Source organism: Homo sapiens, chromosome 5 (assembly GCF_000001405.40).
Source record: "Homo sapiens chromosome 5, GRCh38.p14 Primary Assembly".
Lineage (NCBI taxonomy): Eukaryota > Metazoa > Chordata > Mammalia > Primates > Hominidae > Homo > Homo sapiens.
In genome coordinates, this window is record NC_000005.10 from 37,743,879 (window position 1) to 37,762,290 (window position 18,412).

An 18,412-nucleotide genomic window follows, 5' to 3' on the forward strand; every position below is an offset into this window, starting at 1 on the left:
GTTTCCCCCCAGCAAAACACACCCTCTCCACCAAGGGACAAAGTGCTTCGTTAAATGGGTCCTGCTCCCCATGCCACCCAACTGGGTGAGACCCTCCAACAGAGATTGTCAGACGCCCTATACAAGAGCAATTCTACTGGCATCAGGTTGGTGCCCCTCGAGGTTAGAGGTCCCAGAAGAAGGAGGAGGCACCCACCTTGGCTGCCCTCCAGCCTCCTTGAGTGACATCTCCAGGCATGGGAGCGAATCAGATGAATGGAGCCTGAAGTGAACCCCCAGCAAACTGCAGCAGCTCTAGAGAAGAGTAGCCCTGATTATTGAAAGAAAAACAAGCAGAAAGTAACAACAACAGCATCAACAACAACAAAAAGGCCCCACAAAAACCCCATCCAAGGGTCAGTAGCCTCGAAGACCAAAACTAGACAAACTCATGAAGATGAAAAAGAGTCAACAAAAAAATGCTGAAAACCCACAAGGCCAGAGTGCCTCTTCTCCTCCAAATGATTGCATCGTCTCTCCATTAAGGGCACAGAACTGGATGGAGGATCAGAGGGACAAATTGACAGAGGTAGGCTTCAGAAAATGGGTAATAAAAAGCTATGATGAGCTAAAGGAGCGTGTCCTTACCCAATGCAAAGAAGCTAAGAAGCTTGATAAAATGTTGGAGGAGGAATTGCTAAACTAGAATAACCAGTTTAGAGAGGAACATAAATGACCTGATGGAGCTGAAAAACACAGCACAAGAACTTTGTGAAGCATACACAAGTATCAACAGCCAAATCAACCAAGCAGAAGAAAGGATATCAGAGTTTGAAGCCCACCTTACTGAAATAAGACATGCAGACAAGAATAGAGAAAAAAGAATGAAAAGGAATGAGCAAAGCCTCCAAGAAATATGGGACTTCATTAAAAAAACGAACCTATGATTGATTGGAGTACCAGAAGAAGATGGAGAGAATGGAAACAAGCTGGAAAACACACTTCAGGATATTTTCCAGGAGAACTTCCCCAACCTAGCAAGACAGGCCAACATGCAAATTCAGGAAATACAGAGAACACCACTAAGATATTCCAAGAGAAGATCAACCCCAAGACCCTTAATCATTGGATTCTCCAAGGTCGAACTGTTAAGGGCAGCCAGAGAGAAAGGCCAGGTCACCTACAAAGGGAAGCCCATCAGACCAACAGCAGACTTCTCAGCAGAACCTCTACAAGCCAGAAGAGATTGCGGGCCAATATCCAACATTCTTAAAGGAAAGAATTTTCAACCCAGAATTTCATATCCAGCCAAACTAATAAGCTTCATAAGCGAAGGAGAAATAAAATCCTTTCCAGACAAGCAAATGCTGAGGGATTTTGTTACCACGAGGCCTGCACTGCAAGAGCTCCTGAAAGAAGCACTAAATATGGAAAGGAAAAACCAATACCAGCCACTGCAAAAACACACCAAAATATAAAAACCACTGACACTACGAAGAAACTGCATCTAGTGTGCAAAGTAACCAAATAGCATCATGACAACAGGATTGAATTCACACATAACAATACTAACCTTAAATGTAAATGGGCTAAATGTCCCAATTAAAAGATAGACACAGACTGGCAAATTGGATAAGGAGTTAAGACCCATTGGTGTGCTGTATTCAGGAGCCCCATCTTATGTGCAAAGACACACACAGGCTCAAAATAAAGGGATGGAGGAAAATCTACCAAGTAAATGGAAAGCAAAAAAAAAATGGGAGTTGCAATTCTAGTCTCTGACAAAGCAGACTTTAAACCAACAAAGATCAAAAAAGGCAAAGAAGGGCATTGCATAATGGTAAAGGGAACAATTCAACAAGAAGAGCTAACTATTCTGAATATATATGTATCCAATACAGGAGCACCCACATTCATAAAACAAGTTCTTAGGGACCTACAAAGAGACTTAGACTCCCACACATTAATAGTGGGAGACTCTAACACTCCACTGTCAGTGTTAGATCAACGAGACAGAAAATTAACAAGGAAATTCAGGACTTGAACTCAGCTCTCGATCAAATGGACCTAGTAGACGTCTACAGAACTCTCTACCCCAAATCAGCAGAATATACATTCTTCTCATTTCCACATGGCACTTATTCTAAAATCGACCACATAATTGGAAGTAAAACGCTCCTCAGCAAATGCAAAATAACTGAAATAATAACAAACAGCCTCTCAGACCTCAGTGCGGTCAAATTAGAACTCACAATTAAGAAACTCACTCAAAAACCACACAATTTCATGGAAATTGAATAACCTGCTCCTTATTGACTCCTGGATAGATAGTGAAATTAAGGCAGAAATAAAGAAGTTCTTTGAAACCAATGAGAACAAAGAGACAATGTTCCAGAATTTCTGAGATATAGCTAAAGCAGTATTAAGAGGGAAATTTCTAGCACTAAATGCCCACATTAGAAAGCTAGAAAGATCTCAAAACGACACCCTAACATCACAATTAAAAGAGCTAGAGCGGCAAGAGCAGACTAATCCAAAAGCTAGCAGAAGACAAGAAATAACTAAGAGAAGAATTGAAGGAGATAGAGACATGAAAAACCCTCCAAAAAAATCAACAAATCCAGGAGCTGGTGTTTTGAAAACATTAACAAAATAGATAAACTGCTAGCTAGACTAATAAGAAGAGAGAGAAGAATCAAATAGATGCAATAAAAAATAATAAAAGGGATATCACCACTGACCCCACAGAAATACAAACTACCATCAGAGAATACTATGAACACCTCTGAGCAAATAAACTAGAAAATCTAGAAGAAATGGACAAATTCCTGGACACATACACCCTCCCAAGACTAACCCAGGAAAAAGTTGAATCCCTGAATAGACCAATAACAAGTTCTGAAATTGAGGCAGTAATTAATAGCCTATCAACTAGAAAAAGCCCACAACCAGATGATTCACAGCCAAATTCTACCGGAAGTACAAAGAGAAGCTGGTACCATTCCTTCTGAAACTATTCCAAACAATTGAAAAGGAGGGACTCCTCCCTAACTCATTTTATGAAGCCAGCATCATCTTGATACCAAAACCAGGAAGAGAAACACACACAAAAAAGAAAACTTCAGGCCAATGTCCCTGATGAACATTGATGCAAAAATCCTCAATAAAATACTGCCAAACCGAACCCAGCAGCACATCAAAAAACTTAATCCATGTCATCAAGTCAGCTTCATCCCTGGGATGCAAGGCTGGTTCAACATACGTAAATCAATAAACATAATCCATCACATAAACAGATCCAAAGACAAAAACCAAAAACATATTTACAAGAAAAAAACAAAAAAGTGGGCAAAACATATCAACAGACACTTCTCAAAAGAAGACATTTACGTGGCCAACAAACGTATGAAAAGAAGCTCAACATCACTGATCATCAGAGAAATGCAAATAAAACCACGAGATACCATCTCACACCAGTCAGAATGATGATTATTAAAAAGTCAGGAAGAATAAATGCTGGGAGGCTGTGGAAAAATAGGAACACTTTGATTATCTCAGTAGATGCAGAAAAGGCCTTAGATAAAATTCAACACCCCTTCATTTTAAAAACTGTCAATAAGCTAGGTATTGATGGAACATATCTCAAAATAATAAGAGCTATTTATGACAAACCCACAGCCAATATTACATTGAATGGGCAAAAGCTGAAAGCATTCCCTTTGAAAACTGATACAAGACAAGGATGCCCTCTCTCACCACTCCTATTCAACGTAGTATTGGAAATTCTGGCTGGGGCAATCAGGCAAGAGGTATTCAGATAGGAAGAGAGGAAGTCAAGTTGTCTCTGTTTGCAGATGACATGATTTTATATTTAGAAAACCTCATCATCTGAACCTAAAAACTTCTTGAACTGATAAGCAACTTCAGCAAAGTCTCAAGATACAAAATCATTGTGCAAAAATCACAAGTATTCCTTTACACCAACAGTAGACAAGCAGAGAGTCAAATCATGAATGAACTCCCATTCACAGTCACTACAAAGAGAATAAAATACCTAGGAATACAGCTAACAAGGGATGTGAAGAACCTCTTCAAGGAGAACTACAAACCACTGATCAAGGAAATATGAGAGGACACAAACAAATGGAAAAACATTCAATCCTCATGAATAGGAAGAATCAGTATGGTGAAAATGGCCATACTACCCAAAGTAATTTATAGATTCAATGCTATTGCCATCAAACTACTGTTGACATTCTTCACAGAATTAGAAAAAACTATTTTAAATTTCATATGGAATCAAAGAAGAACCCCGTATAGCCAAGACAATCCTAAGCAAAAAGAACAAAGCTAGAGGCATCACGTTACCTGACTTTAAACATACTACAAGGTTACAGTAACCAAAACAGCCATATAGACCAATGAAGCAGAACAGAGTCCTCAGAAACCTACACATCTACAACCATCTGATCTTCGACAAACCTGACAAAGACAAGCAATGGGGAAAGGATCTCCTATTCAGTAAATGGTGCTGGGAAAACTGGCTAGCCATATGCAGAAAGCTGAAACTGGACCCCTTCCTTATACCTTATACAAGAATTAACTCAAGATGGATTAAAGACTTAAATGTAAAATTCCAAACCATAAAAACCCTAGAAGAAAACCCAGGCAAGACCATTCCTAGGACATAGGCATGGGCAAAGACTTCATGACAAAAATGCCAAGAGCTATTGTAACAAAAGCTAAAATTGACAAATGGGATCTAATTAAACTTAGAGAGCTTCTGCACAGCAAAAGAAACTATCATCAGAGTGAACAGGCAACCTACAGAATGGGAGAAAATTTTTGCAATCTACCGATCTGACAAAGGTCTAATATCCAGAATTTACAAGGAACTTAAACATATTTACAAGAAGAAAACCCATCAAAAAGTGGGCAAAGGATATGAACAGACACTTCTAAAAAGAAGTCGTTTATGCGGCCAAGAAACATGAAAAAAAGCTCAACATCACTGATCACCAGAGAAATGCAAATCAAAACCACAATGAGATACCACCTCACGCCAGTGAGAATGGTGATTATTAAAAAGTCAGGAAACAATAGATGCTGGCAAGGCTGTGGAGAAATAGGAACACTTTTATACTGTTGGTGGGAATGTAAATTAGTTCAACCATTGAGGTAGACAGTATGGCGATTCCTCAAGGATCTAGAACCAGAAATACCATTTGACCCAGCAATCCCATTACTGGGTATATACCCAAAGGCATATAAATCATCCTGCTCTAAAGACACATGCACACGTATGTTTATTGCAGCACTGTTTACAGTAGCAAAGACATGGAACTAACCCAAATGCCCGTCAGTGATAGACTGGATAAAGAAGTATAGTATTCCATGTGGAATACTATACAGTCATAAAAAGGAATGAGATCTGTCCTTTGCAGGGACATGGATGAAGCTGGAAGCCATCATCCTCAGCAAACTACACAGTAACAGAAAACCAAACGCCTCATGTTCTCACTCATAAGTGGGAGTTGAACATTGAGAACACAGAGAGGGGAACACCACACACCAGGGCCTTTTGGACGTTGGGGTGTGAGGGAAAGGAACTTAGAGGACAGGTCATGCAGCAAACCACATGGCACATGTATACTGATGTAATGAACCTGCACATTCTGCACATGTATCCTGTTTTTTTTTAAGAAGAAAAAAAATATTATGCATACGTATAATGTGGCCATTTTGCTGGCAACATTATGATTAGTTCAAAAGTAGAAATTAAATGTCATGGAGTTTTGCAAAAAGGACTATGATGTTTAACTGTCTTACCTTCCAAACAACTTAATATTCCCTACATTTTAATTCCTAGTGGGGACCAAGGAAACTGTTGTGATCTAGTGATTAGAAATGACAGTTGAAGTGACCCTGATGCAAACATTTACTCAATGAATTAACTGAGTTCAATACTAGGTGAAAAAAAAAACCAAAAACGCAGTATCTCCTTTGAAAAACAAATATTTGTCCTTTTTCTTTTCTCATGGCTGCTAGGAAATTCAGTGCTAAGTTTAATGCTCAATTACCCTTTCATTCCTTGGTTCTTTATTTTCTACCAATTTGTTTTGTTTTTAGTTTCTTTACAAATCAACTTTATTGAGGTACAATTTACATACAATAAAATACAAAATGTACCCATTTCAAGTTTTGACAAATGCATACACCTGTTAATCACCATTTCTGTCAAGATTATAGAACATTTCCATCCCACCAAAACATCCTCTCATGCCTCTTTCTAGCTGTTGTTATGTAGTTTTGTTGATTCTGTGCCCTTTGATGTTAGCCATCAACCTCCTACGGATACTTTTGGAAGGTGGAATATTAAAAAGACTAATATCTTGGCTGGGCGTGGTGACTCATGCCTGTAATCCCAGCACTTTGGGAGGCCAGGATGGGTAGATTGCTTGAGGCCAGGCACTTGAGACCAGCCTGGGCAACATGAGCAAGACCATGTCTCTGCAAAAAAATAAAAAAATTAATCAGACATGGTGGTGCACATCTGCAGTCCTAGCTACTGGGGAGGCTGAGGCAGGAGGATCACTTGAGCCCGGAAGTTCAGTTACAGTGAGCTATGATTGTGCCACTGCACTCTAGCCTAGGTGACAGAGAAAGACCCTGTCTCTAAAAAAAGAGTGATATGGTTTGGCTGTGTCCCCACCCAAATCTCATCTTGAATTGTAGCTCCCATAATTGTCACATCATGGGAAGGACCTAGTGGGAAGTAATTTCCCATGCTGTTGTTGTGATACTGAATCTCACAAGATCTGATGGTTTTACAAAGGACAGTTCCCCTGCACACACTCTCTTGTCTGCTGCCATGTAAGACATAACTTTGCTTCTCATTTGCCTTACACCATGGTTGTTAGGCCTCCCCAGGCAGGTGTAACTGTGAGTCCATTAGACCTCTTTTATAAATTACCTAGTCTCAGATATGTCTTTATTAGCAGCGTGAGAACAGTCTAATACAGAGAATAACACCTTAAATGAAATAACCTTTTTGGACTCTACATTTCTTCCTGTAATTTGCCATTTAATTTCCTTTTTTATATACAAGAAACTAGCATTGCAATTTCTTAGTACTTAAATCTCATTACAACTAACATTGATGAGCTGGTGTCCTACGAAGCATTTTCAGATATCCTTGGAAGACCTTGTTCCTTTTTTTCCCCCTGAGAAGTTAAATATCTAATTCAAAGGATTTTTTAACCTGGACAAATTTGTTCTTGAACAGGTTTATCCATACCTAACTGGTCAGCATCTTTGCCAGAAGATGAAATATGTAATAAGCACCAATTGCCTTGTTGTAGCATGTTAGAAAGCCAGTTAGGAATTCAGCAACTTATGGCCTATCAAAACCTGTAGCTGCTTTTCGAAATTTAAGAGCTGTGACCTGTTTATAGATATCATAACAGTGTCTTAAAGTGACAACAAGAAGTTTAACCAACTGGGTTGTGTATGGGGACAGCTTAGGCTCTAGGTAGGTGTGTGAGGTAACTGGAGAGACAGGAATAATGATCAACTTATTCACGAGCAATTCTAGTACATGACTCATGTCAGACAACATCAGCATGAGTTGTGGATGGTTTATGCTTTTTCCCCAGGATAATAAAAAAGCAGCAAGAGGGAATATAAAGTTTATCCTGGTTTTCTTGCCAAATAAAAGGAATTATAGTTGTCATTATTTTTACCATTCTGGAATTACGTGGATATAATGATTCTAAATGAAAATACAAGCCGAAATATATAACCTGCAGATGTGCTTTAATGTTTCTTCATAATGCGATAGAGCTGTTTTTTAAAATAAAATCAGAGTAGCATGACCAAAAGGGGCAGACATTATAACCACTTGACATTTTCTTGGAGATATTTCTTATGTGAGTAGTGTGAAAAGGGATGTCATTGAACCGGTATGTTTACGAAGCACAGAAAGTCTTTGTGCAGATTGCTTGAGGTGTGTGGCAGTATTACAGCCATGTATCAGTGATGTATCCTAAAATGCTTGGCATTTCCATGCATTGGGCTGAGTGTAGGAATGCGGGGGATATTCGTTTTCTTTGGTTTTTATTTTTGCAGGCTCAAATTCATTAGATAAGAAAACAAACTCATATTTTCCCATTTATGTGTACTATAAACACATATTTACACTACTGAAGCCTAGGGACAACCCAGAGAGCTTAATAAATGGTCTTAATAAAGATCATGTAGATTCTTGCTTGGTGACTGTAGTTCGTTCTTCCATACGGTCCCAGTTACCCAGAGTTTCAGGTGGAGGGTGGTTAGGATGGGTGAAGTTCCACTGAATTTGATGCATTTTCATTTTATTTAAGGAAAGAACAGTGTGTATGTACAGTCTGCCACAGAGGGTAAATCTTTAAAAGAATCTTTTGCTCTTTTCCTGAACATAATTAAATTTCCATTATCTTTTTCTTTGCCAGAAGTTTAATGATTTATATTTAATAATTGAGTTGTAATTTATTCCCCACATTTGCTCCCACTTGATGAAGGAAGCAAAATCTAATGTAACAAATACTTTCTGACTAAATTTTTCCTTCTCTTCTTTAACTTTTCTTTTAGGACTCAGCCCAAAACCATGTTTGCCCAAGTTGAATCTGATGATGAGGAAGCAAAGAATGAGCCAGAATGGAAAAAACGTAAAATTTGAAGAATCTCATTTGAGAGCTGTTTGCATGAGTGGGAGGGGTATGGGACAGGTTTGGGTTTTTTTTTTATGCTCATGAAATTAAAAATTCATTTTTATGAACAGGTTTTGTCCTTTGCATTATTGAACTGGTCAAAAGTTTGGTGGCTAGGCTTCACTAAAATTGTGCTTAAATTTTCTTACCTGCAACTATTAAACTGATTACAGATAAACAAGAAACAGATTCTTAGTCTATTACCAAGTACTTTAGGTATTTGGAAACTTTATTCAACAATTATTGGTCTTGTCCAGATTCTCATAACCTTAGAGAGGAAAATGTACATTAAGATGTGCATCTGTCTCTAGCAATTCTAGGAACATAATATAGAAATAGAGATCAAAAAGTTTAATGTTTCTGTATAATTTCACAACAGTTGTTTACATGACTGTAATTAATTAGGCTGAGTTCAAACCAAATACATTGCCATACTGGGAAAGAGCATTATCTCATTATCCTTCAATAGCAGAATACAGTGGTTAAGAGTTAGGAGTGGGCTTTGAAGTCAGACTCATGTGGATTCAAGTCCTGGCTTTGCTCTTTACTTCTGGGTCATCTTAAGAGAGTTATTTAACTTTTCTTTTCTAGCCTCAGATGATGAAATAGTACGTACTTTGCAGGTTCGTCAGAAGAATTAAATGGGACATGCCTCACAGAGCATTTAGTACAGTACCTGGAACACAGTAAATGTATACCAAATATTTGCTATTTTAAAATAGGGCTAATATTTACTTTGCTTGGTTTTTATCAGTATTAAATTAGAAAGGTATAGAATTGCTTTGTAAATGTAAAGACTAAACAGAAGACATTAAAAATTATTCTAAAAAATCATTGTGCTTTAGTGACTAAAAAACTAAAACAAAAGTTGGCAGTTTGTCCAAAATAATAATGCATCAATAGAATAAATTCTGTGCATTGGTTTCACACAGACATGGGGTAGTTTTTGCATGTTAAATAGTCCCCTCTAGACAGGTTTTTTAGGACTTGCCTTCTCCCCTCCTGCTCTCATTTGTTCTAGTGATTTCAATAATTATAAAAATGCATGATGATCCCAAAAGTATATCAGAAAACTCCTGGTTTTACAGGCTTCACGTACCCACACCTGCTTCCCAAAAAATATTTTTAAAGAATCACTTGTACTCACACAGCTCCCTTGTCTCTACAGATTCTGAGGTGGCAGTGGGCATTCTTTTATAGATAAATCCTTAAAACTTCATTCTCATACACTTTCTCAGTCCTTCCTTCCTACCCCCATCCTCATCCTATTCCCCTTCTCTTGTGACTCAGACTATAGGTAATAGGTAAAAAGAAAAGAACTAACATTTGCTGAGTGTCTGCTACATAATGAGTACTATCCCAAGCCCTTTACTTGTGTTAGCTGATTTAATCCTCACAAAAACCCTATGAGTAGGTAAAATTGCTAAACCCATTTTCCAGATGAGGCAAAAGAGATTCAACATGTCAAATCATATGTCTGAGGTCACAGCCAGAGAGGGCTGCATGACAGCACCCAAGATCTCTAAACATCAGTAATTAACAAATAGCCCCAAGTTTTCTGTTCCTTTTGAAAAACACTTCATTCAGAATCAATTACAGACCAATATTTTGTTCCAGCTGCTTAGAATGTATAAATTTATTACTTCTTGAATAAAATTTACTGAAAGCATCTCACATTTTCCCCCATCTTAACATAAACATTGCACCATATGGAAGTATTCGTCTTGTACAGCCAAAAGTTGCAGTGGAGGGTTGGAGGAGGAATAAAAACTTGATCATAGTGGTCTTGGCGGAGTCAGCTATGATGTAAGGGAAGAGAAAGGCAAATTTCGCACGAAGATGATTTTCTCATCGTTACCCACAACACAAGTGGGCCTTTTCATATTTAAGAGGATCTGTCTCACTGTAGAGAGTTTTATAAAGAATTATTTTTTCCACAGAAGATTGGCAACATGCACATACGGATTTCAATTTCAAATTTGGTAAGGGAGGAGTTTAGAACCAGGAATGGACAAATAGTGTGTGTTCATTTGACCTGCAGTCCTGTCACCAGAGTGGGCATCAACAGTTATTTATCTTACAGTCCCTCACACTCCCCATGTCCCTCAGGCCTCGTTATCTTCCCCCATGCAACCTTGTATTTGGTCGCCTTCATTTCTAGTTGCTCGAAGGAACTGGCAGTCATCCTAATGACTCCTCCCTCACCCCCCACTCCCACCCATTTAATTATTTGCCAGTTTCTTCCCATGCTGTCTTCTGAATCTCTCATATTTGCCCTTCCTCTCTTTCCCTACCACCCCTCTAGAATTTAGACCCTCTTTTAGCCTTCACCAGCACCACTCAGGAGCCTCCTGCCCAAATGATCTTCCTGTTTTTCATTAGGTCCTCATCTAACCCATCTTTCATTCTGTCATCAGAGTTGGCCTTCTAAAGTCAAAATCTGTCATTTCATTCTTTTGCCTAGAGCCTTCCAGAAGCTCTATGTCAGTACTCATGCGTTTATGTGGCAATTGAGGACATCCAGGATTCGGCCTTTCCCTGTGTTTCATGCTGTAACTCCTGCTGATCTGGCACATGCTTCTGAGGCTCAGCCACTACTATGTTCTTTGGCACCTGAATGGCTTTGCACATGTTGTCCCCTCTTCCACCCTTGTCTGCTTGGAAAATTCCTATTTGATTTTGGAAACAGGAATCAATTTCACCTTCCCAGGCAGACAGTCTCCGCTTCGATAGTTGCTTACATATCTCTCAATTATAGCCTCCTTTTATGTTGCGTTATGATTGTATACACATGAATGGCTTGTGGGCCAGTGGTGTGTGCCCATGTGTGTACATGCATGTTTCCTCACTAGGGTGTAGATTGTAAAAACTAAAGAGCATTGGGTTCAGTAAATATTCAGTAAGTTTGTTTAATAAATTAGAGGAGCCATGTTCTATTCACATTTGTATTCCTAGACCCTAGCCCTGAGAAAGGGTTTAAAAAGAGGCGTATTCAATCTTTGGCAGAGGGAGGGAATGAAACAGGCAAGGATGAAGAATGGATGGGAAAAGAATGAGGTGTGAGAAGTGCTTCTGCCTCGCAGATGGAAAGGAGGATCGTTAGTACTGAAGGTTGGTCTGCATCCAGGCTGCTTTACCTCTTCTCTGTGGGGATTTATTCACAGCTAACTGTGATGGCTCAAGGAGGAGGCAGGATTATCTGTGCTATTCCTGGCAGGGCACAGCAAGTTCTAAGCCACCATGACATCCTCAGGTACTTGCCTCCTGTCCTGTTGGACTTGATACTGGGAAGGTCATGTGACCCTGACTTACCAAAGATCTGAGAGATGTCTAGCATGGGGATTCTTAACCTAGGCGGGATGTCTGTGAACTCCCTCAAATTTTATGCAGCATGCTTTGCTTATACTCGTACATTTTTCTGTGGAGAGAATCCATAAATTAGACTCAATTCGAGGATACTGGGTACAGCTAGTAATTCCTTCATCTCCCAGGATAACTGTCTAAAATTGGGCCATTCATACTTGAAAACCAGGACATAACTCTCACACATTCACACACACACAGTACCAAATAAAACCAACCCAACTAAAACCTTTCATACACTGTCTACCATTTAATCTTAGGCAATCAGTCATATTGCTTTGTAGTCAGACCTTAGTATTTATTCTTTGAAAGATTATGGCTTTCTGTCCCATTAAAAAAACAAGAGGTCAGCTTCACAGCCATATGAAGGCAGAAAAAAAAGTGTGAGCATTTTTCTTAATGTGATCTAAGAACAAATATGAGACTTGAGCCAACTTGAGACAAGCTTTAAAGAATCAACATGACTATCTCAGGCATGAGATAGTGTTTAATAATCAGTGAGTCAGATGGGGCAGGAGAAAGGCAAGGTGTACAGGTACACAAACAGCCTGGGTCAGTAGCCCCCCAGAGGTGATATGCCTCATTCATTTGTGAGACTTATTGTGAAGAGATCAAGAAGTTGGAGAGGGTTGTTTACAGACACATTTTGAAAACCATCTTTCTGGAATAAGGCACATGTAACTTTAATTTTTGATTAATACCCTCACCAAAGAAGAGAGAGGAGGACCAGGCCATGGGAGAAGTGCCTGAAGACAGGAGATCTTTGTGTGTGGGGTGTGCGTGTGTTGAAGTATGTAGCTGCAGGAGGAACTTTCAGGGCAAAGAGTGGAGAAACTGCCATTCTAAGTAGTTTTCTGAATTATCAGTTTATACTACTGTCTTCACATTTTTTAATAAAAGCATTTTAAAAGATACTTCACCTGCCCCCAGTAGTAATAATACTCTAATGAAACTTTTGGAAATGCTTATTTTTAATGGTAGATTAAAAATAGCCACCGGGCGCGGTGGCTCACGCCTGTAATCCCAGCACTTTGGGAGGCCGAGGCGGGTGGATCACGAGGTCAGGAGATCGAGACCATCCTGGCTAACACGGTGAAACCCCGTCTCTAATAAAAATACAAAAAATTAGCCGGACGTCGTGGCGGGTGCCTGTAGTCCCAGCTACTCGGGAGGCTGAGGCAGGAGAATGGCGTGAACCCGGGAGGCGGAGCTTGCAGTGAGCCAAGATCGCGCCACTGCACTCCAGCCTGGGCAACAGAGCGAGACTCCGTCTCAAAAAAAAAAAAAAAAAAAAAATAGCCACAAGCTCATTGACACTTCTCTCCCCTTAAATCTGAGCAGGCTTGGTGACATCTAGACCAACAGAACATGGCAGAAATGATGTTTTTCAAGTCACCAGGCCCAGACCTTAAGAGAATTGCACCTCCTTTCTTTCTCTTGGGACACTTGTTCTTGAATCCTGGCTGCCATGCTATGAGGAAGCCCAAGCAGCCCCATGGAGAGGCCCACTTGGAGAGGAATTAAGGCCCCTAGCCAACAACCCCAAAAGAGCTCCCACAGCTGTCAGCTGGAAGCAACATGTTATTGAGCCATCTTGGAAAACAGATCCTTCAGTTACAGTTGAGTCACATCAGCTCTTGTCACATGAAGCAGAGATGAGCCAATCCCAACAGTGCCCTGCCCAAACTGTGGATTAATGAACAAAATAAATGATTATTGTCATTTGAAGCTACTAAGTTGTGGGATTGTTTATTATACAGAAATGTGTAACTGCAACAACTTAAAAGATAAAATTATTCAACCATTCAATTTGTGCTAATTCAAATATTAGCACAAACAGTACTAATATTTTGATGAATTACCTTCAATTTTTTTCTTTTTTATATAGTTTTCAGATTTATTTTCTCTTCTCAAAAATAGAATTATTATATTTATGAACAATGTGTATTTTTCACTTATAAAATAAGCATGCAAATTTTCCATAATATAAACCTCATATATAATCTTAGTAGCTACATAGTAGCTCATTATATACATATATATTCTAAACTATTATCCTATTGGAAATACAGATTATTTTCAAATTTGCTATTATAAGCAATGCTGCTTTGGATAGTTTATGTTGAATTCTTTTCTTAGAATTGGTAAGTAACCCAAAATGGAATTATGCGGGGTCAAAAAGTATGACTCATTTGTTAGATAGGGCCATTGCAATCCTGATTATCAGTAGGTGCCCAATTGGAGAGGACAAAGATGATTCTGGGAAATATTTCTAGTTTACTGGGTTGAACAGTGTTCCCTTAAATTCATGTCCACTGTTAAAAAGCTTAGCTGAATTAAAAGAGTTTAATTGAGCAAAGAATGATTCATTAATCGTGCAGCCTCCCAAGCCAGAGTAGGCTTAGGAACTCCAGCGCAGCCATGTGGTAGAAGATTTATAGACAGGAAAAGGAAAGTAATGCACAGAAAATGGAAATGTACAGAAACAGCCGGATTGGTTATAGCTTGGTGAATGCCCTATTTGAACACAGGTTGAAGAGTTGGACATCTTTGGCCAAAACTTGGTGATTTGTACAAGAGTAGGCTACAGTCTGTATACAACTCCATATAGGTTATAGTTCATGATGTACAGAGAAATCTTTAGGCTGAACTTAAAATACGTAAGGAGGCAGCTTTAGGCTAAACTGGATTTAACCATTCCCTCCATTTGGTAACCCTCTCAATTTTGAGAGATTCACCAAAACTTTAGTCATTGATGTCCCTATCACCATTGTAAATGTACTTATTTGGTCTTGAAACCCACTGAGAAATAGCACAACAGTAGGTTGTGTAAGGCGAAAACAAAGACCTGAGGTTATTATTATTTTTTTTTTGTAAGGGTTAAAGTAGAGGGTACCTCCTTATGCTGGAACTTTCTGTTTACAGGAGAAAAACAAAACCCACCTGTTCTAGGATCTATGTGTTTCCTGAAGTCTTAGTTTGATTATGTCACATTTGGCATGAGTGACTCCATTTTAGTTTGGTCTGGTCTGTTGGGGCTTAGAGCATGAGCCCAGTCCAAAACAATGGCCTCCCATAACTTTGTTTAAAAATTACCCCCTTCTGGTCAGGTTCTCATATAAGAGTGTGACCCAAATTTAAGGCCTTAATGTCACTCTCAGTTATTTTTTTTTAATTTTTATTTTTTTTAGGCTGGGCGTGGTGGCTCACGCCTGTAATCCCAGCACTTTGGGAGGCCGAGGCGGGCGGATCACGAGGTCAGGAGTTCGAGACCAGCAGCCTGGCCAACATAGTGAAATCTTGTCTCTACTAAAAATTAGTCAGGCGTGGTGGCAGGCGCCTCTAGTCGCAGCTGCCTGGGAGGCTGAGGCAGGAGAATTGCTTGAACCCGGGAGGCAGAAGGTGCGGTGAGCTGCCGAGATCACGCCACTGCACTCCAGCCTGGGCAACAAGAGTGAAACTCCATCTCAAAAAAAAAAAAAATTATTTTTTGAGACGAAGTCTCACTCTGTCACCCAGGCTGGAGTGCAGTGGCATGATCTCGGCTCACTGCAACCTCTGGCTCCCGGGTTCAAGCAATTCCCTGCCTCAGTCTCCCATGTAGCTGGGATTACAGGCGCCTGCCACCATGCCTAGCTAATTTTTGTACTTTTAGTAACGATGGGGTTTCACCATCTTGGCCAGGCTGGTCTTGAACTCCTGACCTCATGATCCACCTGCCTCGGCCTCCTAAAGTGCTGGGATTACAGGTGTGAGCCACCGCGCCCAGCCCACTCTCAGTTATTGTACCATCATTTTGGGTTTCCTGTCTCAGCACGTAATTCATAGTTTATGATGTCCTCATGGTCACACATTTCTTTTAGCTCTTATCCAGTTGAAGAAAGATCATTTGACATTCTAAAGATGTCTGCATGCAAACATTTAGAACTGTTGAGAGAATACAGCACACCAGGGAGACTATTATGACTATGAGGAGGACAATACCAAGAGTTTGCAGTATGCGCCTTAGCCAGTGTCCCCATAAAGCAAACCACCTAAAATCAAATAAAGAAGGAGCTAGATAAATAATCTACTCACTTTAAGCAGTCTCTTTGTTAATCCCCTACCACTGAACTTCTATAATACCTGATGTGATGTGTTTCTCCATGGGCAACAAGAAGTGCCAGCAGCTGCACAGATATTTCTCTGTTTAGCCAATAAGTAATGTAGAGCAATTATATTATTTAGCATAACTTTCACAAGATAACCTAAAGTCCATTGTGTAACCACAGCCTTTACAGTAGAATCTGCCATAGAGCCTATCATGAGGGCTAAATTTCTAGTTATTGCCCCATTTACTCCAAACCATGAAAAAAACCACCTAACAAATGATGTCTTTCTAGAGCAGTGAAGACCTCCTGGCAATGTTCTCTTTAACCTATGATGTAGGTTAAGAGGAGTGGACCAATGTTCTGTTTCTGACTGATTATGAGGCAATGTCTGTACCCTTAAAATTTCTCACCTACATTGGACCTTCCATCTGTCTAGACATAAGGTTATCCATATAGAAGGCTGGCTGCAAAATCCTTCCCAAGAAAAATTATGCCCCACGAGTGCACACAACAGACCCCCTTTTCACTTCTATTGTTTGCAGAGGCCTAAGCAAGAGGGAAAAACGGAAAGATAAGAGTCTCATGATAGTAGAGAAATCTTGATCTGTGATCTTGGGAAAAAGCTGTCTACATAAAGGATGCCATCTTCTTCTGGGGAGAAACTTCCCTGGTTAGCTTTACTTTAAGGATTCCAGTGGGTGTATAGTTCCAAGAGTGTAGAGGGACCCCTCTGACTTGTGAGATTGTGAACCCAAGGTTCAAGGTCCTGAAGTTTTGCTACTGTGTGGATGGCAAGGGCAGTCTTTCTCTGATGTTCTCAGGAGATCCAATCTTTGCATTCTAGATTGTGAAGGTGTTGATTGTCTTCAGTCAGTGAAGCATGAAAAGATTTCTTTACCTGGTGAAAATACACTGTTGCATAATGAGCTAGTGTATAACATCAACCCTCTTGCATGGGAAAGCTTTTATACAACCAGAAAACATGCATTGAAAATGACAATTGAATGAAATCCCTCTATAAATGTTTAAATGGCCCATCAGGGAGCAGAATGTACCTGAAGTTTTGAATGTCTTCCTAGGAATATGGGTTTGACAATCAGGTAGCAAAATATATCTGAAGTTTTGATTGTCTTCCCAGGAATGTGGGTTTGACAAACCAAACACTGGTCATAAACTATTTTGACAATTTAGAAATCATCACACCGATACATATATTTAATTTGGATTACTTTATCTTTTCCATGATGAGTCATGGAATGCAGAATTTTTAATGACAAAAGCTTTAAGGACTCAGGAAGGATAAGGCAGTCATCCTGGTTCTCCATGAGTCCATCCTTAACATTGAACTTATGTCTTCTTGAATACCAGTTGTTTCTCCAATTTAGGTGCATAGCACTGATAACCGATGGGTTATCATGAGTAATTTGACTTAGACCATGGAGTTCATTCAAAATGTATATCTAAACATTTTCAGTATTGGCTGATTTAGCATGAAAATCTGGCAAAGTATTTCCTTGGTATTCAATTAATTTTTGTTCTGCTTGGGTTAGCGGTTTTATAAACCAGTCAGTCTTTTCATTGAAGTTCTAGGAATTCTTACCCAGTCCAAAAGATATCATTCTAAAGTTATCAAAGCTTGTTTTCAAGAGTGCTTTTCAGGGTCCTTTCCGTCCTTTCATGAACCTCCTTAAATACATCATATTCTAGGATTTTGCATGCTTGTGAAGTTTTTAGAAACTGCATCAAAATTAAGCAATTAACTGTGGAAATGACTTCAGTCAGTTAAAAAAAAATTGACAAAGAAATTTGACTATTTCTGTGGCCTATAATAACTTAACCATGTTATGATCTATAGCATATACTCAGACATATTAGAATTTTAGAAATCCCATACAATTTTGGAACATATATTTATAACATTCATTAAAATATAACCTGAAGAAGGCTAATCATTATTTCTTATTTGACAGTGCTTCCCATGTAACTTAACATGTCAAATAATCCTGTTTAGCTCTCTTTTGGATGCCTCAGGGACCAAAGTTAGAGATCAAAAAAATACTTAATTTTGAGGCCAAAGTTTGGTTTTGGGAAGCTTGACAAATATGTCAAAAGTTTAAAATACTTGACCAAAATAGGATCACAGATCATCGTAGAACAATATCATTCACTTAACCAAAGTCATAATTAAAAGATTTTTAAAAACAAAAACTTGTACTCTTTGATAAAGGAGAC

General features: G+C 39.2%; 1 protein-coding gene across 5 annotated transcripts in view, besides 1 other annotated feature; it reads left to right on the forward strand.

Moving 5' to 3' along the window:
- WDR70 (WD repeat domain 70) overlaps positions 1-9,557 on the forward strand; it is a 374,118-nt gene extending 364,561 nt beyond the window's left edge. For all 5 annotated transcript variants that reach the window (NM_018034.4, NM_001345998.2, NM_001345999.2 and 2 more), the window contains one exon: positions 8,608-9,557. In NM_018034.4, the coding sequence (NP_060504.1) occupies positions 8,608-8,695 (88 nt within the window). In that variant the 3' untranslated portion in view covers positions 8,696-9,557. The remainder of the gene's footprint in view (positions 1-8,607) is intronic.
- Positions 12,448-12,696: a silencer, noted in NCBI's record as "fragment chr5:37756428-37756676 (GRCh37/hg19 assembly coordinates)". NCBI's record gives its function as "represses an EF-1alpha promoter that drives an FKBP-Casp9 reporter gene in an ReSE screen in K562 erythroleukemia cells {active_cell/tissue: K562}" and the evidence as "EXISTENCE:reporter gene assay evidence [ECO:0000049][PMID:32094911]".